Source organism: Homo sapiens, chromosome 14, assembly GCF_000001405.40.
Source record: "Homo sapiens chromosome 14, GRCh38.p14 Primary Assembly".
Lineage (NCBI taxonomy): Eukaryota > Metazoa > Chordata > Mammalia > Primates > Hominidae > Homo > Homo sapiens.
Window position 1 is genome coordinate 91779352 of NC_000014.9, and position 27615 is coordinate 91806966.

Sequence of the window (27615 nt, forward strand, 5' to 3'; positions counted from 1 at the left end):
TAGTTTAACATAGAATCAGATAGCTTTCTATTGTTTCAGAAGACATACAAAACTTTTTTTTTTTTTTTGAGACAAGAGTCTCGCTCTGTCACCCAGGCTGGAGTGCAGTGGCGCGATCTCGACTCACTGCAAGCTCCTCCTCCTGGGTTCATACCATTCTCCTGCATCAGCCTCCCAAGTAGCTGGGACTACAGGCACCCACCACCACGCCTGGCTAATTTTTTGTATTTTTAGTAGAGAACGGGGTTTCACTGTGTTAGCCAGGATGGTCTCCATCTCCTGACCTTGTGATCCGCCCGCCTCGGTCTCCCAAAGTGCTGGGATTACAGGCATGAGCCATCGTACCCCAGCCCAGAACTTTCTTTCTAGACATCTACTGCCATTATGAGAGTCCTACAGTTTAATATAATTATTTATTGTAATCATGGTTTATAGAAATCACATTTTTTATAGATTAAAAAACTTAAAACTAAAAAAGTACTAAGTTAAAAAAAACTCCACTAGGAGATTACTAAAACTGTAGGCCACATTCATCTTCCTACAATTCTTCACCCACAAAATAAAATCCAATTTAGGAGGCTCCATTAACTCTTTTAATATATTTCTAAATCTTAAATCTATATTTCAAAATGAACATGGTACTTCATATGGGCCCACTTTTCATAATTCTTTCAACTCAATGTTTTAGCCAAAACTGCAAACATTTGAAATTTAATTTTGAATAAAAATTACAGCTTATGCACCAAGATAACATTAGAAAGTGTCTTCAGACATTTTATCAGGTATTTTCCTCATTACACCCAACCAAACACAGAAAGAAATATATATTTTTGAAATGTCAATTACTGCTATGCTATCAAAAGCTGACATTTATTACAAATTTCTGAAATCCTTCATAAGCAAGTATTTGATTAAACAAAAATGGAAAATGTTACTAGGAGATATAGTTTATACCTGGCTGTTGAGTACATTAGTATCAGAGAAATTCATGTAACTATATTTAAACAGAACTTCAGTTTAGGGTCTTTTCAGACCACAATTATATAACTTGTTCAAAATCCCACTAGTTTCTTCTTAACAGTCTTGGTAAGAGATGAAACTGATATACTTCAGAGGCCATTTCCCTAGGAGTACTGCTTTTAAAAATCATGCAAAACAAAAGCCAAATAGTGATGTTATATTTTAACCCAGGCTGCAGCTATTTGTGTTGATCTGAAAGCTTACAAGTAAATCCACTGTTAGGAATGAGCACTGTAAAAGCTATCAGCTATCAGCGTGAACCCTTCCATGGTTTCCTTTGATCACATGACATCATTATGATTTCCTTCTCCTTGCGTAAGTGGGTAAAGGTCAAGAAATGCCTAGGCAAATATGAAGAGAAGTTATTTTGGCATAGAATCTCATTTTTTACTACCAGCTCCTAACGTTTTTCTCACAATATGCATACCTATTAGCAGGAGATTGGATTTTTATTTATAGGTCCACATAAAGCTTCAAGGAAATAACCAGCATTAGTACCTCCTCACCTGAAAAAGGCTTAAGTAAACACTAATTAAAACATTTAGGATCTTAGTTGTATCAATACTTCTGTACCTGAAAGCTCTTTTAAATGTAAGGGTTTTCTTTTTATTGTTTTATTTACCTAGGATTCTAAGAAACTGAGAAGTCATAGCTTTCCCTTAAATTATACATCATACATACATTGTAAGAATATAGAAAATTAAATAAATCAAATAATTAAATATTAAGTTAAATGCATGACTACATATATTAAATTTGGAAATTCAAAGCATTAATAGAACAGAGAAACCAGCTAAAACAAATTGTAGCTTTTAAAATAAACAATAAAGCCCGTTATTTATTATCTAAAAGCCAGTAAATACATTTACTTCTTTGGTACCCATTAAAATAGTTGCATTTGCAGAGGATGTTTAGGGCAGCGAAACTATACTATATTATAATGATGCATACATATCATCATATATTTGTCCTCTAGCATGTATAACACCAAGAGGGGACTCTAATGTAAACCATGAACTTTGGATGATAATGATGTTTCAGAGTAGGTTCATTGATTGTAACAAATGTACCATTGTGGTGCAGGATACTGATAGCCTGGGAGGCTGTTGAGGGCTTTGTCAGGGGAGAAAGGAAATCTCTATCTTCCTCTCAATTTTTCTGTTAACCTACAACTGCTCTAAAAAAAAAAGTCTATTTTTAAAAACAATTTTTAAAAGTTGTATTCGTCTCAGATTCAAAATATTATCACACAGGTGATTTATCTTAAAAATCCATGTGAGTACTGACCTATATGTCATTTTTTGCAAATCTAAAACAAAAATATTTCAAAATGTTCAGTGGCAGAGAGTACTGGTACCACAAAATCAGAGCAGTAGAAGCAAAGGGGATATAAGATGTGGACATTTTGTAGCTTGAGGAGATGGCACCTAGGGAAAAGAGAATTAAGTGTTTATTTGGGAAAATGTTAATGATATACACAGAACATAGGAGCTGGAATAAAGAAGGCATGCTTAGGTTATAGCAAGGTATACTCCTGGCCTAAAATATCACCATCTTTCTCTGCATGCCTGGGACAAAGTAAGAATGGGGGCAGAAAAAAAGGGAAGACTGAGAACACAGAGCACTTAGTCTACTTATTAGCAAAAATAAAGTGAGATTTTCTAAAATCAGGTATAATGTCATCTGCCTCTCCAAAAAACTGTTCTTTTTGGCCACAGTTCTTATGGTCAATTAAGCTGAAATTATTTCCAAATACTGAGTTCTAATAAGTACTGGAAAGAAAACTGCAATAGAAAATATTTGTTACACAGTATAATCAGGTATGGTTATGAAAAAAATGAGAAAATACTCAAACACGGTAAATTATAGAATAATCTAAATTTTAAAAACTAAAAACGAAGTGATTATCATAAAATACTGAATTTTCTATTTAAGCTCATTTAATTCTGTGAATTAGGATGGACCATATGGATGATACTCTTATTTTAACTCCAAATAAAACAAATAGTAAAATATTTGAGGGAAGAAAACAGCAAAGTATGTATATTCTGGGTTTCCAATTAAACTTCAACCTTCTGGTGTTTTCAATTATTCCTGCCAAAATGTAGTTTTCTATTTCTGAAGTTTTTTGGAGATAAGTAGCTTACAAAGGGATAATGTGATGTCTTATGGGTAAAAAAATTATAAAACACAGGGCACAAACTTTCTCCAAATATAGAAAATAGTTGAAATGGTTCAATTCATTTTTACCGGGAGAAAATACATAGCAAGAGGTAAACAGTGGAGCCAAGACCTAATCAATAATGCCTAGCACTGAAATAATGGTAAAGTCTTCTAAATGCCAATAGTACTAACAGAGACTTGATATACCAGGTTTTGAATATCTAAGTAAAGCTTAAAATACAAAAGCGAAAACATAATATAGAAAGAACTATCTATGGTTGATATTCTCACAGACTTTATAATTTATTTAGTCATCCTAATAATACTTTGATTTTACTGTCTGTGTCTCTTGTTGCAGTTTTAAAACATTTCCTTTACTTTGGATATCTGATAAAATTCATTACATTTTCTTATCAAATTTTCTATCAGATACATTATATACCATAATTATAGCCCCCATAAATTGACAAATTTGTTGATTTGCCTCTTCTCATTGGTAGCAAATTGAAATCATAAGTCTTCTAAAAGAATGTCAAGTTCTTCACCAAATTAATGTGTGAAGTCTTCAAGATGGATTTAATTTGTGCCACCTGATAACAACCTTTTCTGGATTTATTACTGTCTCTTTCCACTGGTTCACTGCTTCAATGTTATTACTGTCTTCACTTATCCAAATCTGTAAAGGAAAGTATGTACAATCATTTAACTTGACACAATAATAATAACTACATTCAGACAGTTAGTTACTCTTACTGATGGAAGAAATTTGGAAGTTTGCTTTACATATTTTAAATTAAACATCTTTCTTTTTTCCAAAAGTCAGATTGATTTCTCTATTTGACATTTAAATGCTAAAACATTTAACCTGCTTAGTCATTCTGAAGACTAGTTTATAAGGTTCAGTTCAAAAATTCAAGGTGAAATATTACAAAATCATTTCCCCTAGAACAGTTATTAGTATCCTTTCCTATTCAACAAATCTAGGAGCTCAACTTAAAACTGATCCCAACCACTCAAAAATATTTTTGTAAGGATAATTAAACTGAGGCTAATCATGATTCAAATTAGATTGGTAAGGAATGTGCATTTTAAATCACCTTTTACAAGAAATAAAGTGTAATCTTAATTAAAATCTAATAGTCATTCTTGATCAATAGTAATTTCATAGTACCCATCACTTATGTAACTTAAATACTACATGTGAATGTATACATAGTATTATGCAAATTGTACAAAAGACATCACAATAATTATATTATTATGAAGACAAGGAATAAAAAAACTTGAATTTTCATCTTACCTCTAGCACTAACAAATGCTTTTACCTTGAAGTTAACTTCTCTGAGATTCAGTTTCTAAGAGATTGGAGCAGGTCATTGGTTTCAACCTTTTTCCTTTTCTTTCTTGGTCTAAAGAACCTTCCTTTCAAATGAAATCTTACAAATAATCCCAGTATGTAAAACAGACATTAGAGTACTTTCGTTGATACAGGGGTGGAAGACCTTGAGTTCCCCTTTGGCTACCCCATCATAGTTCCTCCTAAGGCTATACCAGATAAGCCATACGGAGCAGATGACCAGCAAGAACCTTTCCAGAATTATTATTCTAACTAGAATCTTAGCCAAGAGAATGGAATCACCACAAATGTTATCATGAAAATCATCTCAAGTAAATTTCCTATTCCATTCATACCGTTAAGTTGAGGCTCGATGATATACGAAAACTTTAACTGAATTGACTTCATAAAGGCTTAATGGTCTTCAAAATTATGCTGGTTATATGAATTCTTAAATTCAAGCTCTTTTCCAAATAATAAATGATAAAACAACATTTTAATTAGTATTTTACGTAAAAATATATATTAAAAAGTAAATCAAGGAGCTGATATCAATGTTTGAAAATTCATATATAATTTGAGGATTTCATGTAGACTGTTAATAATATCTTGTCAAGTTGAAGCTTTTAAACCAATAATATAGATTTTGGAATTTAAATGTGGTTCAAACAATCGTAATTAAGGTAAAAGATAATGGACAGCTACCACTAGTCTATTCAGAGTAAGGAAAGGAAACAAGTTCCTAGAGGACTGGCAAGTTAACAAGTGTTATGTTGTTTTATACAAATTGTACCAAGATTTTAAAATAATCCAGACAGTAGTATTAACTAAATAATATCACAACCACTGTTAAAATGGACATGTTCTAGGAATTCAAAACTAACTCAGGTAAGAGAATATAAAAAGTGCCCATGTTAAACATTAAATCAAAGATTAAACAAAATAAATTTGATACTCGAAGACTTAAGAAATTGATTTAAATACTTAATGTTCCCTCCTTCCACAAGGAACAAGTCAGTAGTACTGAAAAATTGATAATTCTCATCGTTTTTGAAGTAAAAAAGCTCAGAAAAAAACATATTTAAAGATAAACCTGATTGCTCAGAAATTCCAACTATTTGTATTAAAGCAAAAAGTCTGACAAGTTTCGATTTTTGTAGCAATTGAATTTTGATTTATGATGCTGAAGAACTGTACTCTATTTGACTTTAATATTATCCTGTATTCCCTTTGTTAACTGACTGTTTAAATGCATAGAAAAATATAAGGAAGGATAAAAACTCCTACTAACCTGGCCCACAAAGTGTTTTCTTCTTACAGAGCTTCGACTGTAAAGCTTAATGAGAAAAACAATTTCTTTTTCACTCTGTATAAGTGGAAAAATCATAGTCTCTCCCCACTTGACTCTTCCATTGGAGGCCTTCAGTAAGCGTGTCTTTTTCTTATAAATCAACTCTCCCGAGCTAAACATTCCCACCTTCACGAAAAAACCTAAAAAATTAGAAATATTGGTTTATAAAATGTTATTCAAAATACCATATAAAGATGTGTATATACACATCCAAGTTGGAATATATATATATAACATTTATTGTAAAAAATATAGATAAGTCACTTTTAAATGTTTGATGAGCTACGACCATAACAGAAAACAGTTCTAATCAACTTTATAACTTTGGCCATACTTTACTACTGTAACTTTAAATGAACTTAATCTTTCTGTGGCTGAATGCCATTAAAGACTGGAAATGGAGGCATAAACAACAATCACAGTAAAAGAGTGCACACTGAAAAGGATCACACTAAAGAGAGGTACCAATCTTTTGGACAGCTGGAGGTATTTATTTCACAATTATATAGGTAAAATATAAAAGACTCCAGGAGTTAAGTATATGCCCACTAGATAAAATCTGTACTTTAAATTTGAGATGTATAGAGCTTCCAGTAATGGCAGAATAGCTTGTATAAACTAACCTTCCCATAAACAACTATTATAAACTTTGGAAAAAAATTTTAAAACACTAAAAGCAGAAAGAAACTGGAGGGAAGTCAACTGGTAAAAGACGGGAACTTCACTGGGTAAAATTCAGGTTGATATAGCTTTTCACCTAAGCATACTCCCCTATCTGACTGACACACAGTGCCTACAGCTCAAGCAGAAAGTACAGTCTGACTAATTGGAGGTGACAGAGCTGGGGTGCCAGGGAAGCAAGAAAGTGAGAACTCCCAGAAAGGTGGGAGCCACAGTGAGGGCTGAGATCCGACCGTCAGATTGATAGAATGAAGAGTTGTGGTCATCCTGATAAGCTGTTTTAAGGGAAGCCCGTCATAAACAGCATCTGTTGTCCTTGTTTCCTAGAATTAATTATATATAGTTCTGATGATTTATTCCAAGTTAGGTTTTATTTGCTCATTTTTCTTTTAGGATTCTCCATCTATCTACACAGGTGACATTAGTCTATAATTACTTTTTGTGTGTGCTATCCATTCTGTTTTAGTATCAAGAATATGCTGACCTCACAAAATTACTTTTTCCATCTTCTTTTCATGCTTTGGAACAGCTTATATACAACAGAAATTACATGTTCCTTGAAAATTTGGTAGAATCTCCCAGTACAATTACCTTGGTCTAGTGCTTTTATTAGAGGCAGTTCTTTAACTACCTTTTCATGCTTATTCTTTTATTCGGATTTTCTTCCTCTTCTTAAGATTCTACTTTCAACTGCTGAATTTCTCAGAAAGTCATTTATTTTACATAGATACCCAAATAAATCGGTATAGCTATATATGGTATTGCTTTATACATGATAGAATCTCTTCTGAATTTGAAATTATATCCTCTTCATTGCTCAGAATATCATTCATGTTTTCTCTATTTTTTCACTTGATCTCACCTTCTATAGATGTGTCTATTTTAATGATTCTTTCAAAGAAGCAGCTTTTAGTTTTATTGATTATGCCTTTTGTGGTTGTCTCCATATCTGTCACCTTCAACTTTAGCTTTAATACCTTACTCTAATTTCTTTGGGTTTGTTGTTTTTCTAGCTTCTTGAATTGAATGCTCAGTTTCATTTATTTTTAGTCTTTCTAGTTACGGTGAACATGCATTGCTTTTGCCTGCCCCCATACAGTTCCCTTCTTTTAGTAGGGAAAAGGGGCACTTCTGCCCACTCAAATCTCTGGGACTAGACAACCAAAGTATCACAACTCCTGGTTGTAGACAAAACACAGGGAGAGAAAAGTGTTTCTAGGTTTGTTTTTGATATATATATTTTTTACAATTAAGTTTCTAGTTAGCAGGGCATTCCACAAAGGGCACAGACCTAGAGAGAGGATAAATCATTTCAGGTGGTAAAATATAACTGAAAATCCTCTAGACATTCAACCTGTATGAACTGATGAGCTAAATAAAAAACAGTATCAAAGGCAGAGAGGTCATAACTGGATAACACTCAAGAGACCACTGTATTAAGGTAGACACAATGGCTAAAATTTGAAATCTTATAATTTTAAATTTAAAGTAAATAAGTTAAATAATAAAAGTTACTAAGATTTTAATCTCCATTGTAAGAAATGTAAAAAAAATACTTTCTATTACTAATACTTTCTGAAGATTCTACTTTGAACCACTGATATACTTACTCAAAGTCAGAGGTGTTGATGAGCTTGGAAGGTACCGTGCCTCAAGAATTTGTAACTGAATTCTGCTATTTACTGCTTGAAAACAAGTCCCCAATTCAAGTTCTGCATGGCAAACCTGCATATCAAAAAAGTGTCATTTGGTAGTTAAGAATAAAGTTTTTGAAACAATTCAAAAATTAAAAGATAAAAAGCTAAGGTTAGAAATTTTGAAAGTATTCCTTTCAAATGATATTCAAAACTATAAGTTACAAGACAAAGTTATGAAGATAAATATCATGAATTCTTTAAAGTACTCATTTGCATGGTTTCTGAAAATACAGGTTATATCTATGTACTGAAACTTCAAAATCTGTGACACCTAGAGCCAATTCAAATTAAAAGCAAATTAAATTAATAAGCAGTATCACTGAAGAAAATGCCAGTGAAATTAACACAAAAGGAATACACTTTCAAAACAACTAAATGTAGTCAAATTATTTTTAGAGAACACACGAAATATGATTAAAAAGTTACATATGAAAATCATCATTATTTTCTAATTATGGAGATCAGAGTAGGTGCTACCACAATCAGAAGACAGCAATAAACAGATCTGTGGATTAAGAGTGAATTACTATGCTGAATGGAAGCAAGCTAAAGAAAGCTGGCAAGAAGGAAGCTAGTCAAAGTGATGAGGCAGTAAATAATAAGGAAAAGGTCAAAGAAAACCTGAGGCAAACGGCAAAATGAAGGAGACTTAGAGAAGAGGAAAAATTAAAATGTGTTCTTCAGTACTGCTGACCAACAGCAGAAGAAAGTTGGTTATTTGTCTGTGAAATACAACACAAGCCAGACTACTTAGGTGGATTCCAAGGTCCTTGGACTGAAAAATAAAAGGGAGAATGGTTGTCCAAACACAAAAACACTATTGTTTACATGTTGAAAAGAGTAAGAATAGGAATAAAGTAGGAACATAATGTTCACAGATCATACTAGGGCTCAGCATAGACAGACACAAAGTCTTTGTTAGTACTGATTCCAATAAAGTTACAGAACAACTGAATGACACTTGATGAAGACATTTATATTTGACATTGCTCAGTATTCCCCAATAACTGGCTCATAGCTCATTGGGAAAAACAACAACAACAAAAAAACAACAAAAACTCCAACCTCTCCATATACATAACATTGACAGAAGCTTGGTGTTTTCTTAAAATATGATTCTGTATTTCAAACCAGTCATGCCATAAGAAATGAAGAGATAGAAAAGGAAAAGTGAATTGCTTAACAAGTACAAACTCAACTGTTGGAATTTAATTTCCCCTTGAAAAGGTCTAAATTGATGATAAAACTTGTTATTTGGCAACAAATGCTGACTTCTAATAAATAAGTTAATTTATTGCTTTTGACTGTAATCAGAATGAGAATGAACTAACAACTTTTCACATGAACTAATTTGGTAGCCATAAAAAAAAAACCTTTGCTGATTGAAAAAAAATTGCTGTCCTTGGCATTTAAAAAATATATTTTAAAAGATAGAGTCATACTGTTTATAAAACACAAGGGAAATCATGGTTAAATTTTTTTATTATTTTTTATTACAGTTTTGTACCCACAATGTAATAACACTTATGAAAACACGTAAAGGTGGCAAAACGTCTCTTATTGTTACACAATTGTAGAGTTCACTCTCATAAAACAGAGCAGCATTTGGCAATAGGCTTACCATTTCCCACTTGCCAAGGTTATTTCACAAATTCAATTCATGTTCCAGGACATTAATTCAGATCATGAAAAACTGTTCAAAGAGTTAAACTATTGGCCAGGTGCGGTGGCTCACGCATGTAATCCCAGCACTTTGGGAGGCCGAGGCAGGCGGATCACGAGGTCAGATCGAGACCACCCTGGCTAACACGGTGAAACCCTGTCTCTACTAAAAAAAAAAAAAGAAGAAGAAAAAGAAAAAATTAGCCACCCGTGGTGGCTGATACCTGTAGTCCCAGCTACTTAGGAGGCTGAGGCAGGAGAATGGAGTGAACCCAGGAGGCGGAGCTTGCAGTGAGCCGAGATTGCACCACTGCACTCCAGCCTGGGCGACAGAGAGAGACTCCATCTCAAAAACAAAAAACAAAAAAAAAAAACAGAGCAGCATTTGGCAATAGGCTTACCATTTCCTACTTGCCAAGGTTATTTCACAAATTCAATTCATGTTCCAGGACATTAATTCAGATCATGAAAAACTATTCAAAGATTTAAACTATTTAAATCTCATAATAACCAAAAAATTAAAATTCCAATCAATTAGCAGTTATGTATTGCCTGCATTTAATAAGCACAAAACTGCTCCTGAATAATGTATCCTTTTATTCAGAAAAGAAAACATTGTTAGCCTTCCTGGAAGGGTTGAAATGAAATGCTGAGCATCATTAGAGAACATCACGATCTGGTGATGTTTGAGAATATCTTCTTAGCGGGGCAATACATGGTAGAGTTAAAAGAGCTGGGTTTGGAATCAGACTGCCTCCATTCAAATCCTGACTCCCCAACTACTGGCTGTATAACCTCAGGCAAGTGTTCCCCTGATCTCCACAAAACGGATAAAGAACAACACGGTGATAATTAGATCATTAGATCACGTAGCATTGAGGCAGCCGTAAGATAAATCTCTGTAAATGCTAGCTATTTCTTCAGGAAAACGTATTTCTTCCACATTATTCAATACCGAAATTTGAGATGTGAAGTAATTATTTACATTACTATTTGTCAAGGTCAAGGACTCTTTATTGAGTAAAAACCCGAAAGTTGTGCTGTTCATGGTGAAACAGTTGTCAGTGTGGATGGGAAAGTACGGCTCTTTAGACATCACTATTAGAATATTTATTTTCCTCTTCAACACATTAAAACAAAGCATACTATTATTGCTTTAGCCAATAATATGAAACATTCACACTTATTAACATAAACTCACTGGTCCAGCATAGCCCAAACACTCTTCTTTCAGGTTATCAATCTATAACCCTAGCACCTGGCATTCAGAAAATACACAAATATTTATAAAATCTCTGATACATGAAATATGATTTAGTAGAAATTTAGCCATAATTATTCATTCATATTTTCCAACGCAGATAATAATATCTTAATTCCCCAGAAAATCCCTGAGTTCTCTTCTTATATACTCTGTTTTTAAAGTTTTAATATATGAATTATCTATTTGAATAGTCTATTTGTGCCTTCTGTAAACTATGGCTGCAGATTACTACCTACTAAGCTAGTGTCAAAAATGCCAGTGACAAACTCCTGTCATAGTTACAGAACAGCACATTGGGGGTTGAGATAAAGAATAATAGGCAAGGCTGGGCGCAGTGGCTCATGCCTGCAATCCCAGCAAATTTGGGAGGCCGAGGCAGGAGGACTGTTTGAACTGAGGAGTTTGATACCAGAAAGGGCAATATAGCAAGACCCCTTATCTCTACTAAAAATTTAAAAAATTAGCTGGGCATGGTGGTGTGCCTGTAGTCCTAGCTACTCAGGAGGCTGACATGGGAGGATTGCTTGGTCGGGGAGATGGAGGAGGTAGTGAGCTGTGATTGCGTACCATACTCCATGCTGGGCTACAGAGCTTTCTGTCTTCCTCAAAAAAAAGGGGAAGGGAAGGGAGGGGAAGGGAAGGGAAGGGAAAGGAGGGGAGGGGAGGGGAGGGGAGGGGAGAAGAGGGGAGGGGAGGGAAGGGAAGGGAAGGGTAGATACATGTTTCTGCCCCATATCCCCCAAAATTCTAATTTTTTTTAGTTTATGTATGGGCATTTTTTTAAAGCTCCCAGATGATTCTAATGTATACCCAGAGTTAAGAAGCACTTCCAGTCACCTTAAATATTTTTGGAAACAGGTAAAATATAAATCCCATACAAATTTAAAACCGCATATAGGTTTGACCTTACAAAAGCTTAAGACTGATTTTTATAAACATTATCCTAACATTCAATCTATACAATTTAATTAGAAATTCCTAAACAATTTAAAAACAGTGTTCAGTTGGCTGAGAAGCAAATAGCAAGTCCCAATCAGCACCATTAGGTAATAAAGCTTTTTACAGAAAAAAAAAATCAGCTGTAAAAACTTCTAATCAATTTATGAGCTGCTGTATAGCTTACTCATGGTTAAAACAACTTTCCTAATCTATTTCAGGGCAATCTCTGATTGAGTGTGGAATTTATGATTCTTTCTTGTTTTTCCTAAGTTATCAGCTACCTAAAAAAACTTAAAAAAAAAAAGGTTATTCATACTTCAGAGTTATTTCCCTTGAAGTATAAAACATTAATAAGAAATGTGCCAGGAGAGGCCAGGCGCAGTGGCTCACGCCTGTAATCCCAGCACTTTGGGAGACCGAGGCGGGCAGATCACGAGGTCAGGAGATCGAGACCATCCTGGCTAACACAGTGAAACCCCGTCTCTACTAAAAATACAAAAAAAAATTAGCCAGGCATGGTGGTGGGCGCCTGTAGTCCCAGCTACTCGGGAGGCTCAGGCGGGAGAATGGCGTGAACCCAGGAGGCGGAGCTTGCAGTGAGCCGAGATCGCACCACTGCACTCCAGCCTGGGCGACAGAGCGAGACTCCATCTCAAAGAAAAAAAGAAAAAAGAAATGTGCTAGGAGAAGGTAACCCTGAGGTTATTTTCCAATGGAGAAAGAAAACAGTTCTGTTAACATTTTATCAATAATTTCTAAATATTTGAAAATAATATTATTGCTACTTGAGAGCCTTCCAGATCCTCTAATATTCTATTCAGGCTATTCTCTAACAAACAAAAGCCCATCCACCAACTAATTCTAAAAGTATGAAATACTCTTAACATACTATTATCGCTTACAGAAATTTTTGAAGGTGGTGTTATATCCAAAGAGTAATCCATTTCCTGTGTGCTAAGGGTTCTGAGTGACATTGAGCATTCTCCAATGGTTTTCTTCCTGGGAGTCTGGGTTTGAATCTTAAATACAAGTCTTACAGTTTGTAGATTTTGAAGTTTAATAGCAAATACAAACGTTTCCATAAATTCAATAGCCTTAAAAAAAAAACAAGAAAACATAAAATATATAAATAAAAGGCTTATATGCCAATACAAAATAATATTTTATTTTATATTTAGGAAAGGTATATTCAATTCTTTTTACAACAAAACATCTTTTTAATGTGAATGAAAATAAGAATGGCAATGACTTGTTTTTCTAGAGTTTATCCTGGGTTCTACCTTTCTTAATTTCACAAATCATCCTTTAAATTATTTAGGAATTCAGGTCATATTAACACCATGCTCACCACAATACAGCTTTTTCCCTTTTTGAAAATTAATTGTTTTTCCATCTTTGGTTCTGGCATCTTTCCTGTTATCAATACCATTCTTCAACAGTTCAGGAGAGTGGTGCAAGAATCTCATATGCAAGCACTCTCTTGTTCATAGTATCTAACTTGTTCACATAAAGAGACTTGAATTGTTTCTTTAAAGGAGTTATTTTTTGTCTAAAGAATCTTCCCATCTATCTCAGGCTTCAATTTCTCTTTTGGTGACATTTATTCCACCCTTTCCGATCTGAAAATCTAACTCCTTGATAGAGAAGACAAAGGAAAATATGAATTTAAAATTATATCTTCTCTCCTAAGCACCCATCTCAGTCAGCAAGTCACTGTTTTCTAGCCTCAGAACATTTTTAAATGCTCTTGTTACTTTTAATATTTTTAAATCGTTGGCTTACTATGGGCTAACATATTCTTGACACTAGACGGTTCTTTGCCATACACTTCCTTCTTTCCATCTTTAATGCATCCATTTAGAAAGGAGCTTTTATTCCTTTTGAAAAGGCAAGATATCTGGGCAACTAGCATAAATATTTTGAATACAGGCATACCTCATTTTACTGTACTTTGCTTTAATGTGCTTCATAGACATTACATTTTTTAAAAATTGAAGGTTCGTGGCAACACTGTGTTGAATAAGTCTATCAGTGTCGTTTTTCCACCAGCATGTGCTCACTTCATGTCTCTGTCACATTTTGGTAATTCTCATAATAGTTCAAACTTTTTCATTATTATTATATCTGTTACGGTGACCTGTGATCAGTGATCTTTGATATTACTATTGTAATTGTTTTGGAGTGCCACGAACCACACCTATATAAGATGGGCAACTTAATCGATAAATATGTGTGTTCTGACGGCTCTGGCAACCAGCTGTTCCATCTCTCTCCCTCTCCTCAGGCCTCCCTGTTTCCTAAGACACAACAATATTGAAATTAGGCCAATTAATAACCCTAAAATGCCCTCTAAGTGTTCAAGGGAAAGGAACAAACGTACATCTCCGACTTTAAATCAAAAGCTAGAAATGACTAAGCTTAGTGAGGAAGCTATGCTGAAAGCCGAGACAGACCAAAAGCTAGGCCTTTTATACCACTTAGTCAAGTTGTGAATGCAAAGGAAAAATTATTGAAGGAAATTAAACATGCTACTCCAGTGAATATACAAATAAGAAAGTGAAACAGCCTTATTGCTGATGTGGAGAGAGTTTTATTTGTCTGGAGAGAAAATCAAATCAGCCACAACATTCCCTTAAGCCAAAACCTAATCCAGAGCAAGGTCCTAACTCTCTTCAATTCTATGAAGCCTGAGAGAAGTGAAGAAGCTGAAGAAGAAAAACTAAAAGCTAGTAGAGGCTGGTTCACGAGGTTTAAGGAAAGAAACAGTCTCCAAAACATAAAAGTGCAAGGTGAAGCAGCAAGTGCTAATGTAGAAGTTGCAGCAAGTTATCCAGAAGATCTAGTTAAGAAGGTGGCTACATTCAACAACAGATTTTCAATGTAGACAAAAGAGCCTTCTGTTGGAAGAAGATGCCATGTAGGACTTTCACAGTTATGGAGGAGAAGTCAATGCCTGACTTCAAGGCTTCAAAGGACTAGGCTGACTCTCTTGTTAGGGGCTAATGCAATCAGTCACTCTGAGTTGAAGCCAACACTCACTTACCGTTTTGAAAATCCTAGGGCCCTTAAGTATTATACTAAATTAACTATGCCTGTGCTCTATAAAGGGAACAACAAAGCCTGGATAACAGCATATCTGTTTACAGCATGGTTTACTAAATATTTTAAGTCTACTATTGAGATCTACTGCTCAAAAAAAAAAAGATTCCTTTCAAAACATTATTTCTCATTGACAATGCACTTCGTCACCCAAGAGCCCTGACAGAGATGTATACAGAGATGAATGTTATTTTCATGTCTGCAAACACATCCATTCTGCATCCCATGGATCAGGGAGTAATTTCAACTTTCAAGTGTTATTACTTAAAAACTAAATTTTGTAAGGCTATCACTGCCATAGATAGTGATTCCTCTGATGGACCTGGGCAAAAGCAATTGAAAACTTTTTAGAAAGGATTCAGGATTTTAGATGCCATTAAGAAAATTCATGATGCATGAAAGGTCAAAAAAAGGACATTAGCAGGAATCTGGAAGAAGTTTATTCTAATCCTCATGGCTGACTTTGAGGGATTCAAAATTTCGGCAGAGGAAGTAATTGCAGATGTGGTGGAAACAGCAAGAGAACTAGAATTAGAAGTGGATCCTGAAGATGCAATTGAATGGCTGCCATCTCATGATACAATATGAACAGATAAGGAGTTGATTCTCACACATGAGCAAAGAAAGTAGTTTCTGGAGATGGAATCTACTCCTGGTGAAGATGCTGTGAACGTTGTTGAAATGAATTCAGAGGATTCAGAATATTACATAAACTTAGCTGAAAAGCAACAGCAGGGTTTGAGAGGATGGAATCCAATTTTGAAAGAAGTTCTACTGTGGATAAAATGCTATCAAACAGCATCACATACTACAGGGAACTTTTTTGTGAAAGGAAGAGTCAATAGATGTGGCCAACTTCACTGTTGTCTTATTTTAAGAAATTGCCACAGCCACTTCAACCTTCACTAACCACCACCCTGATCATTCAGCAACCATCAACATCAAGGCAAAACCTTCCAACAGCAAAAAAATTACAACTTGCTGAAGACTCAGATGATCATTAACATTTTTTAGAAATAAAGTATTTTAAATTAAAGTATGTAAATTACTTTTTTTAGACATAATGCTATTGCACACTTAATGGACTACAGTATAAAGATAACTTTTGTATGCACTGGGAAACCAAAAAACTCATGTGACCTGCTTTATTGCAATGTTCATTTTAGTGTGGCAGTCTGGAACTGAACCTACAGTATCTCCGAAGTATGCCTATACTGTGCCCAAACTGTTACTCTTGTTGTAATAGCTTATGTCTGTCTGTACAGCCAGAACTGTCTTTCTGAGGGTCTCACAACTACTGAGCTATCTTTTTCTTTTAGAGTCTCAAGTCATAGAATCACACCAATTATATATTACACACAAAATGTTTAATGAGCTTACAAATTATGCAAGTGTGATGCTTCATTTCACACTTTCTGTATTTTGCCAAATAGGAGTCTCCCAAACAAATTTATATATAATAATAAAATTGTAAAATGAAAGATTCCATACAAGTTTTAATATGGGAACATTTTTCCTAACTTTTCCTAAGTTAAATTAGCTTTATTTGAAAATCAAAAAGTAAAATTGTTTAATTCAGAAAGTATTCATCTATGAGTGTCAAGGTTATAATGAGTTAAGGTTTATTTCTAGCTAGACTTTCAATGATACATATTTTCATAAAGTAAGATCCCAATATATATATACATATATACATATACACATACATACATATATACACATTCATACACATATACACATACACACACAACCCAATTTTGATCATTGTCTTTTTCATTTATTAAAAATGTTTTTCCAGCTCCTTAAAAACTCTTCCTAAACATTAGTTTTCATAGTTACCTAGTTTTCTATCACATGGTGTTATGGGATGAATTACACCCCCCTAAAAAAGATATGTTGAAGTCCTGAGCCCCAGCATCTCAGAATGTGAACTCATTTGGAAACAGGGTCACTGTAGATGTGATCAGTGAAGTTAAGAAAAGGTAATACTGACATAGGGTGGACCCCTAATGACTGGTATCCTTTAAGAAGATGGCCATGTGAATACACAGAACACAGGTATAATGCCATGTGAAGACAGAAGCAGAGACTGGAGTGATCTACAAGCCAGGGAATGTCAAGGATTGCTGGCCATCACAGTAGCTGGAAGAGAGGCATAGAACAGATTCTCCCTCAGAGAAGGAATCAACACTGCTGACATTTTAATTTTGGACTTTCTCCAAAGCTGCAAGAGAGAAAATTCTGTTGCTGTAAGTCACCCAGTTTGTGGTACAGTACTGTTATGGTAGCCCTAGGAAACTAATACACATAGGTACACCATTAGGTTTTTCAACCATTCCTCTGTATGACACATTTGAAGTTTTTTCAATTTTTCTTCAAACAAAACTTCCAAGAGTATTTTATATATTTTTGTATTTTAGATTATTTCCACAGAAATAATTTCCAGTTTCAAAGTAGAATTACTGTTTAAAAGTATAAATATTTTAAGGTTTTGACATGTAGTGTCAAGATAATTTCTAAGAAGTTGTATGTTCTAGAATACCTGTAAAAGTTTTCCTAATTCTAAGAAGAAAGCAAAGAAAGAAAGAGGAAGAAAGAAACAGAAAGCAATACACGCAATTTAAATTTGTATTTCTATGATTAATAGTGAGAAGAAACTTTTTATATGTTTATTAGTCATTTGAATGATATTATTTTAAAATGATGTCTTTTAGAAGATATCTTTTCATTTGCATAGAAAAACAATAATCTTTTAACCTATAAAAAGTGACAGAAATGAAGATGTATTTAAATTAATGTAAAATCTAGGATCTACAAAACCAAACTCAGGATCATAAGTCTTTCTGTTATACTAATTGGAAATATTTAAAAGAAATTCATTGCAATCATGAATTTATTTTTCAAAGCCAAAGTGGGTTGGGGGAAAGAGAAGCCAAGATTTATTTCCTTTCACACAAGAAAAGTAAACAGGTTTCTTAGATATTGTTAATCTTCTATATATTTTAGTGAATAAGATATTCTTTTTAAATGCATCTTAATACTAGACAATGAAATATCAAATATTTTTCAGACTCAAAGTTGCCTTGAAAAAGCAATAATACATAGTTGTAGTTTCCCTAAGATAAAAGACTTTCTTATTCTGACTTGTTTACATGGGTAAAAGTGACAAATATAAAAAAAAAAAAAACAGAAAAGAAATTCAAATACAAACAGCCACTTACGTTGGAACCTTCCTTGGCTGAAGATTTGAAATGCACTGGTTTGGGCAATGTAAGTATTCCTTTTATAGAAACAGTAGGAGTGTCTCCATAACTAGAGGGCCAACTTAAATCTCTGCACTAAAAAAATTAAAAATACAGTTTGAATTTTACAAAGGATCCAACAATACAAACATTTGATGTATTTCTTGAGGTACTGACTTTAGATAAAAACTGCAAAAAATAAACTTGTCTACTGAGACCTCATGTTGCATCCACATTAAGCAAATTTTGACATATAATATTCTAGATGTTATGTCAATTTCCCTCTTGAGCTTAAAAACACACATACTTCCATCATACTACAGATTTTTTTCTTAGATGCCTTATTAAATACTATTTTCTGTAAAAATATTAAAGAATTCCAAATGTCAAAGGTGGCATTGGCCCATTCCCCAGAAAAGGGCAATAGTCAGTGTTTACAATGTCTAAATATTCAATTTTGTAATAAAAGCTGGTATTAACTATACTAATTTACCTGTAAAACTGTGATCCAGATCTGTTCTACTGAAGAATTATAAAACAATTTCACATTCAGTCTCCCAAAGTCCCTTTCATCTCCTGATAGAGTAATTGTATCTGAATTATAAAAGGACAAAGATGTTTCAAATGCCATGCAATCCTTCTAACCCAATTAAGCTTTGACACAATCCAATTTTAAGAGCACAATTTTAAAATGCTACAATTATTTTTTAAAGTTCACAATCTAAGAAGACAAAAATCACACTTTAATATATTTATTGAAGCACTAGAGGGAAGATATATACTATAAAAAGGTCTCATGGTTTTAAAAACTTAACCTAATTGCAGTGAGGGATTTAAATTAAAACTAAGAGAAATCTTTCCAAATAACATTTATATGGCCTTAATACTGTATTCTTCTGGAGGCTCCTTCACTAGTACACTTTAATACAAACAAAAGATATTCAACTGCTTCATCACTTTTTAAAAAGCCACACTTGTACCTGAACACTGAGAAATGGACCATGTGATCTGAGTATCCATATGCTGATAACACTACCAACATAGTTTTATTTAGACTTAATTTATTATATCAACATAGTAGATACAATCATCTAGAGTTTTTCACCTTATATACACTTTCAAGTTACTACTGAGTAGAAATAATTATCTTAAGAGTATAAAAGTAGGATACTTTATTCCTTACCCAGGCTTCTGTTACTCCCCTGAGAATTTTTCCTTGAAGAAGAACTACTGGGTACACTGGACAATGAATCATGTCTCTATAAATAAAATTATTCTTTAGTCAGAAATTGCATATGAAACCTTAAGGATTCTGATACATATGCCTCAATATCCATCCTAGTAACAAACTGCATGCTAACTATTTTGACAGTGTTACAGGTCAGAATTTCCCACTTACAGGTAGTGGAAAAAAAAAAAAAAAGCTTTTGGCATTTGTTAGGAATATCTTAAATATCTTACAAGATGATATACTGGAAAGCCTTTGCTGTTTTGGTTTGGTTTTGTAATAAGGAGAAAGATATTACTGCTTAAGTTTCATACCTGAGAGTATTAACGAAAATGAGAATTTATTTAGAAATAGCCTGCTATGGAAAAACTTGTAAAGCAGCAATTATCAAAGCATAGTCAATCTGGACCTGCAGAAACAGTATCATTTGGAACTTGGTAGCAATACAAACTCAGGCCCTACTGCAGAGCTACTGAATTAAGAACTCTGAGGATGAAGCCTGTCATCCTGTGTTTTAACAAGCTCTCCAAACAATTCTGATGTGTGTTAAACAACTGCTGCTATAAAAAAATTAAATCTATAAAAAGTTAACTCACTTGAGGATTAAGGATTATCTAGAATATATTTCCATTTTAAAAAATATATGTACATATATTCACATGGAAACAAGACCATGAGTACACATAACAATATTTTCACATTGCACTTACTCTGAGTTATAGGAAATATGGGAATTTGTCTTTCTACTTTGCTTACTTCTATTTCCTAATTTTAAATAATTACAGTTTACTTGTAATAAAAAAGAAACATTTTTTAAAACATCAAAATAATTCTCAATTCCTTTTCAAAACCAGGAGGATGCAGTGTTAACATCAGTGAATAAAGTCCTACATCTCAAAAGAAATATAATTTTTAAAACTAGCTGGTTATATTCAGTAAGAAAAGCTAAATTAATAAGCACTTTTAATTACACCATTTTAAATACCAACTGTTTCAAGGTTCCCTGAGAGCATACCAACTGAGATATAAAATTTATTGAAAAAAGAAAAACTACTGCCTTTTAGCAATCAAATAACAGCTTTCTAAAATAATATACATGGGAAATATCAATTATTTATTCTTCAGATATCAGAACAGATACATCTACAAAAAATATACAGCATATTCCTAATGTAATTCATACATTTCTGAATTTTTAATTTGAAAGGAAATTATCACATATAATTAAATTTATGTAGATAATTCACCTGGATGAATCGCTGAGATGAGTTTGTAAGATCAAACATAGATTTGCTTAGCCCAGGGGAACCGGGAAGTTTGTTCGTCCTTAAATCACAAACTACAAAGGGATATGAGAAAAGTATATATTTTTAAGAAACACTGGAATTCTACTTAATTACCATGAACTAAATCTCTGTAGCAATACATCATGAATATTTTGTGCAAATCTACAGAAGAGATAAAGCCTTCTAATAAAAATTTTTTAAACTTAAAAAAATTTTTTTCAGTTATTTTATTTTTGTTTGAAACAGAAATCAACACAAATCAAACAACACATTTTCACATCCACATCAATTATCAAACAGGGAAAATTACTTTTTTCTTTACATTCCCCATTCCTTGATCCAATAAATATAATCTAAGAGTAAACACTCTGTATTAAGTGTAGTGCAACTATTTATTATTAATAAGCATGTATTACTTTTAAAAATCAATACTCAATCCCATGTGCTCCTATATTTCTAGTCTGTATTTTTAGTTTCCCTCCTACACTGTAAGATCTGTGAAGAAAGGAACTTTGTATGCCAATTGTATATTCTAGCACAGTAGTGAACGTAAGGCAGGCCCTTAAATAAGCATTTCTTCTTTATTTTCAGTACCTCACCCTAAATTCACTGGTTGAGAGAGATATATATATATACACACACACATATGTATACATATATACATATATATACACACACATATGTATACATATATACATATATATACACACACATATGTATACATATATACATATATACACATACATATATATGTGTGTGTGTATATATATATATATATCCTGAAAAACTGAGAATTTTGTGAATCACAGACGAACATGATAGACTATAATTCACACAGTCTCAAATATGAAACTACAAAAGCTCTATAATCACTTAAGCAGTTTGTTTATATTTCCCATCACACCATGAGTTTCTAAATTCATCATTTTCACTGAATACAGAAAAAAATGAAAAAAATATTACTGTATTTAGTACAACATATCTATGTACAAATAGCTGTTGAAGAGTTTATGAATATACAGGTGACAAGTGAAATGCATACAAAATAATCTGGGCTGGTGTAGTGGCTCATGCCTGTAATCCCAGCAATTTGGGAGGCCAAGGCAGGAGGATTGCTTCAGCCCAGGATTTTGAGCCTAACCTGGGCAACATGGCAAAACCCCATCTCTACAAAAAAATTCAAAAAAATTAGTCAGGTGTGGTGGCACACTTCTGTAGCCCCAGCTTCTGCGGTGGGGCAGGGGTGATGGGGAGCTGAGGTGTGAGAATCACTTGAGCCTGGGAGGTTGATGCTGCAGTGAGCTGAGATTGCACCACTGCACTCCGGCCTGGGCAACAAAGTGAGACTCTGTCTCAAAACAACAACAACAACAAAAAGACAAAATAATCTGAAAACAAAACTTCTTTCTTCTTTATGTTTTTTCCCTTGTACCTGGTATGTAGCTAACTTCTTTCTCTTTTGTTATATGTATTTATCATGAACAACATAATGCTTTAAAGTATATATACATTGCAGAATGATTAAATCTAGCTAATTTACAAATGTATTACCTCACAGTTATCACTTTTGAATGATAACAAAAAGTGTTTTGAGAACACCTAATATCCACTCTCTTAGCACTTTTCAAGAATATATCATAATTAACTATAGTCTCCATGTTGTATAAAAGATCTCTTGAACCAAAGCTTCTTTCAAAAAAGGGAAATTAAATGGAATTTAGAACTACCAACAGATATAACTCATTAATCTTTCAATTCTTATATTAGATATAATACTACAGAGATGTCATAACGTTTATCACATTTATGAAGCTTGTTTTCTTATTTTTAAAATGCTTTTAATAGTAAAAATCATTTATTCCCATATCTTACATTTGATTTCTAAATTTCTTAAAGAGAAACACAGAGAGGAAAAGCACAAAAGATCTTCATACCCGATCCATACAGTCTCTTCACTTCTGAACGGGGAGGAAAGCGTCGACTCAAATCAGGTGAAATGTGCTGATACATATAGAATGGGTTATACACATCATAGCTAGGTCCGTGCTGGGATGAACTGGAAAGTTCTACCTTTCGATCTCCAAAAGATGCTCTGGCAGATCCTGAAAGCAAATGTTTCTAAAAGTTTATAACATCCTTTTCTTGGAGTTATTAGCCAACAGCTGGTACACCCAGGGTAAAAGAAAAAATATTTTGTCTCAAGTAATACTAAATCACATGTCTTTGATAGCTAAAAAGATCAGCACATATTTAGGGAGTTCTGTGTGAAGTATTATGCCAAGGATCAGCCATTAAGCCTGCATTTAAGACAGTCTGGTATATTTCTGGCATTTTTCTTTGCCCCATAGACAATTCTGTATTGTGTGATCTGAGTTTCCTCTTATTTTTCTACTTATATATAGAACATCTTTTAAATTACAAGATTGGGGGGGGAGATACATCCTTTTCAAGAAGACGTAGAACATTTATTAAAATTGACCACATGCTGAGATACACCGAGAAACTCTCAAATTTGGAAGGACTGAAATCATACAAAGTACGTTTTCTTACTACAATGCAATTAAGTTGGAAATCAAATAGCAAAAATAAAAATAAAAACTATTTATATGGAAACACTAAAGACCAAGAATAACCAAAAACTTAATCTTTAAGAAGAAAAACAAGACTGAAAGATTCGCTCTACTGGGAATTAGGAATATAATATTGGTAAGTGATAGAAAAAGAGATCAATAGCAAAGAAAAGAAGGCCTAGAAATAGACACCCGTTTCATGAACACTTACTTTATAATTAAGGTGGCACTGCACAAGAAAGAATGATCTTTTCACTAAAAGGTGATAAGACAACTGGATATCAACAGGGAAAAAATAAGCCTGCATTCAACTAAAGATATTCACAAAAAAATTAGTTCCATGGGGATTGTAGATCTAAATGAAATATTACAGACAAACCAATAAAGCTTCTATATTCAGGTTAACTGATAAGAAAGTTTTCATGACCTTAGGACAGGGAAGCATTTCTTAAATGGAACATAAAGAGCATTAATCATATACATACATATATACACACACACACACACACACACGTACATACATACACACACACACACACATATATATATATAATTTTATTTATTTATTTATTATTATTTTTGAAGTTGATTCTCACTCTGTTGCCCAGGCTGGAATGCAGTGGCATGATCTCGGCTCACTGAAACCTCCACCTTCTGGGTTCAAGCTATTCTCCTGCCTCAGCCTCCGAAGTAGCTGGGATTACAGGCACACGCCACCACGCCAGCTAAGTTTTTGTATTTTTAGTAGAGATGGGGTTTCACTCACCATGTTGGCCAGGCTGGTCTTGAACTCCTGGGTTCAAGTGATCCACCGCCTCAGCCTCCCAAAGTGCTGGGATTACAGGCATGAACCACCACGACCAGCCTAATCATAGACATATTTTAATAAACTAAACTACATTAAAATTTAAAATTCCCATTTGTCAAAGACTATTTAAGGTAACCCACAGAGTGAAAGAAGATATGTGCAACAAGTATAACTGACAAAGGGCTCATATGCATCCAAGTACTAACCAGGCCCGACCCTGCTTAGCTTCTGAGATCAGATGAGATCAGGAGCATTCAGGGTGGTATGGCCATAAAGGGCTCATATCCAGAATACATGAGGAACACCTACAAATCATAAGAAATCAATAAGAAAAAGACAGACGAGACTATACATAAATTGGCTTAAGACATTGATAGGCACTTCAGAAGACAATCAATCTCATTAGTCATGAGGAAAAAATAAGTTGAAAACCCAAGGAAATACCACTACACACTCACCAGAATGGTTAAAAGCAAAAAGACGGACAATAGTACGTGTTGGCAAGAAAGTAGAGGAATGTAAACGATCATACTCTGCTAGTGGAAATGTAAATTGATATAATCACTATGGAAAAAGAGTTTGGCAATTTCTACTAAAGCCGAAGATATTTATATTCTATGACCCAACAAGCCATTCTGAACATATACACAACTGAAGTGCTTGTACATGTGCACCAAGAGATAGGTATAAGAATGTTCGTAAGTATTATTACCCATAATAGCCAAAAAATTGGAAAACTCAAAATTCCATCAACAGTAAAATAGATATAGTATATACTTACTACATACAAATTCCTTATAATATGCTACACAGAAACACTACTGTACACTATGCCATTTAGAATACAGAACGAATTATAATATACACTTACTGTACAGATACAAAAACAAACTAAAACTACTGACAATTACTTGAATTAATCTAAAAAACATAATGTTGAATGAGAAAACCATAAACAAAAGAATACAGACTGAATAAATTATTTATATTAAGTTCAGAAAACAGAAAAAATTAAACTACAATATTCAGGGATATGAGCTTAGGTGGTAAGAAGAAAGGCAAGAGAGTCATGATTGTAACAATGGTGACACTGAACACTCTAGGGTGACTGAAAGGCAAAAAAATGGAGAGAAGCTATGGGGTTACTAGTACTACTCTATGTCTTTACCTAGGCTGTACCTACATGGGTATTCTGCTTTGTAATAAATCACTGAGCTGTATGTTTCTGTTTTGTGCATTTTTCTACGTGTATAATATTTCATAATTTAAAAAAGAAAATATAGGTCAAATTCCTTTCAAGGTTAATAATCATGTTGGGAATAATATGTAGACATAAAGCTAAATTCTTCAAAGGTTTAAATTATTGTAATTCTCTGTATAACAACATTGTGGTCAACTATGGACCACATATACGACAGTGGTTCCATAAGATTATAATGAAGCCAAAAAGTTCCTATGGTCTAGTGACATGGCAATGATTGTCATCAAGATACGTAGGCCTAGGCTAATGTGGATGTTTGTGTCTAAGTTTTTAACAAAAAAGTTTAAGAAGTAAAAAAAAAAGTTTTTAATAGAAAAAAGCTTATAGAGTAAGGATATAAATATTTTTGTATAGCTGCACACTGTGTTTATATTTAAGCCAAGTATTATTACAAAAAAGTCAAAAGTTTTAAAATATTTAAAAGTTTAGGCCAGGCATGGCGGCTTACGCCTGTAATCCCAGCACTTTGAAAGGGCGAGGTGGGCAGATCACGAGGTTAAGAGATCAAGACCATCCTGGCCAACATAGTGAAATCCAGTCTCTACTAAAAATACAAATTAGCTGTGTGTGGTGGCCCGCGCCTGTAGTCCCAGCTACTTGGGAGGCTGAGGCAGGAGAATCGCTTGAACCTGGGAGGCAGAGGTTGCAGTGAGCCAGGATCGTGCCACTGCACTCCAGCTTGGTGACAGACTGAGACTCCGTTTCAAAAAAAAAAAAGTTTATACAGTAAAAAGTTACAGTAAGCTAAGGGTGATTTATTGTTGAAGAAACAAAAATATATTTAATAAATTTAGTATATCCTAAGGGTACAGCATTTATAAAATCCACAGTAGTATACAGTAATGTCCTAGTTTTCACATTCACTCACTACTCACTCACTGACTCACCCAAAACAACTTACAGCCCTGCAAGCTCCATTCATGATAAATGCCCTATACAGGTGTGATATGGCTTGGCTGTGTCCCCATCCAAATCTCATCTTTAATTGTAGCTCCTATAATTCTCATGTGTTGTGGGAGAGACCTGGTGGGAGATAACTGAATCATGGGGACAGTTTCCCCCAGACTGTACTTGTGGTAGTGAATAAGTCTCAAGAGATCTGATGGTTTTTTTAAAGGGGTTTCCCCTTTTGCTTGGCTCTCATTCTCTCTTGCCTGCTACCATGTAAGATGTGTCTTTCTCCTTCCACCATGATTGTAAGGCCTCCCCAGCCACGTGGAACTGTGAGTCCATTAAACCTCTTTTTCTTTATAAATTACCTAAACTCAGGTATGTCTTCATCAGCAGCATGAAAATGGACTAATATAGTAAACTGGTACCAGGAGTGGGGTGCTGCTGTAAAGATACCCAAAAATGTGGAAGCAACTTTGGAACTGAGTAACAGGCAGAGGTTGGAACAGTTTGGAGGGCTCAGAAGAAGACAGGAAGATGTGGGAAAGTTAGGAACTGCCTAGAGACTTGTTGAGTGGCTTTGACCAAAATGCTGATAATGACATAGACAATGAAATCCAGGCCAAGGTGGTCTCAGGTAGAGATGAGGAACTTGTTGGGAACTGCAGTAAAAGTGGCTCTTGCTATGTTTTAGCAAAGACACTGGTGTCATTTTGCCCCTGCTGTAGAGATTTCCGAAACTTTGAACTTGAGGGAGATGATTTAGGGTATCTGGTGGAAGAAATTTCTAAGCAGCAAAGCATTCAAGAGGTGACCTGGCTGCTGTTAAAAGCATTCAGTTTTAAAAGAGAGCATAAAAGTTCGAAAAATTTGCAGACTGTCAATGCAATAGAAAAAAAAAACACATTTTCTGAGGAGAAATTCAAGCCACCTGCAGAAATTTGCATAGGTGACAAGGAGCCAAATGTTAATCATCAAGACAATGGGAAAATGTCTTCAGGCTATGTCAGAGACCTTTGCAGCAAGCCCTCCCATCACAGGCCCAGAGGTCCAGGAGGAAAAAGTGGTTTCATGGGCCAGGCCCAGGGCCCCCCTGTTGTGTGCAGCCTAGGGACTT

At 34.1% G+C, this 27615-nt stretch overlaps 1 protein-coding gene across 4 annotated transcripts in view; it reads right to left on the reverse strand.

Annotated features, from left to right (window-relative positions):
- Positions 1-394: 394 nt before the first annotated feature.
- The window catches only part of TC2N (tandem C2 domains, nuclear), an 87791-nt gene continuing 60570 nt past the window's right edge, over positions 395-27615 (reverse strand). For 3 of the 4 annotated variants that reach the window (NM_001128596.3, NM_001128595.3, NM_152332.6), the window contains exons 4-12: positions 22903-23070; positions 20930-21021; positions 19638-19713; positions 18948-19048; positions 18434-18550; positions 13016-13207; positions 8162-8276; positions 5811-6010; positions 395-3859 (exon numbers count right to left, since the gene is read on the reverse strand). In NM_001128596.3, coding sequence (NP_001122068.2) covers positions 3749-3859; positions 5811-6010; positions 8162-8276; positions 13016-13207; positions 18434-18550; positions 18948-19048; positions 19638-19713; positions 20930-21021; positions 22903-23070 — 1172 coding nt within the window. In that variant the 3' untranslated portion in view covers positions 395-3748. The remainder of the gene's footprint in view (positions 3860-5810; positions 6011-8161; positions 8277-13015; positions 13208-18433; positions 18551-18947; positions 19049-19637; positions 19714-20929; positions 21022-22902; positions 23071-27615) is intronic. The other variant, NM_001289134.2, reaches the window with a different exon arrangement.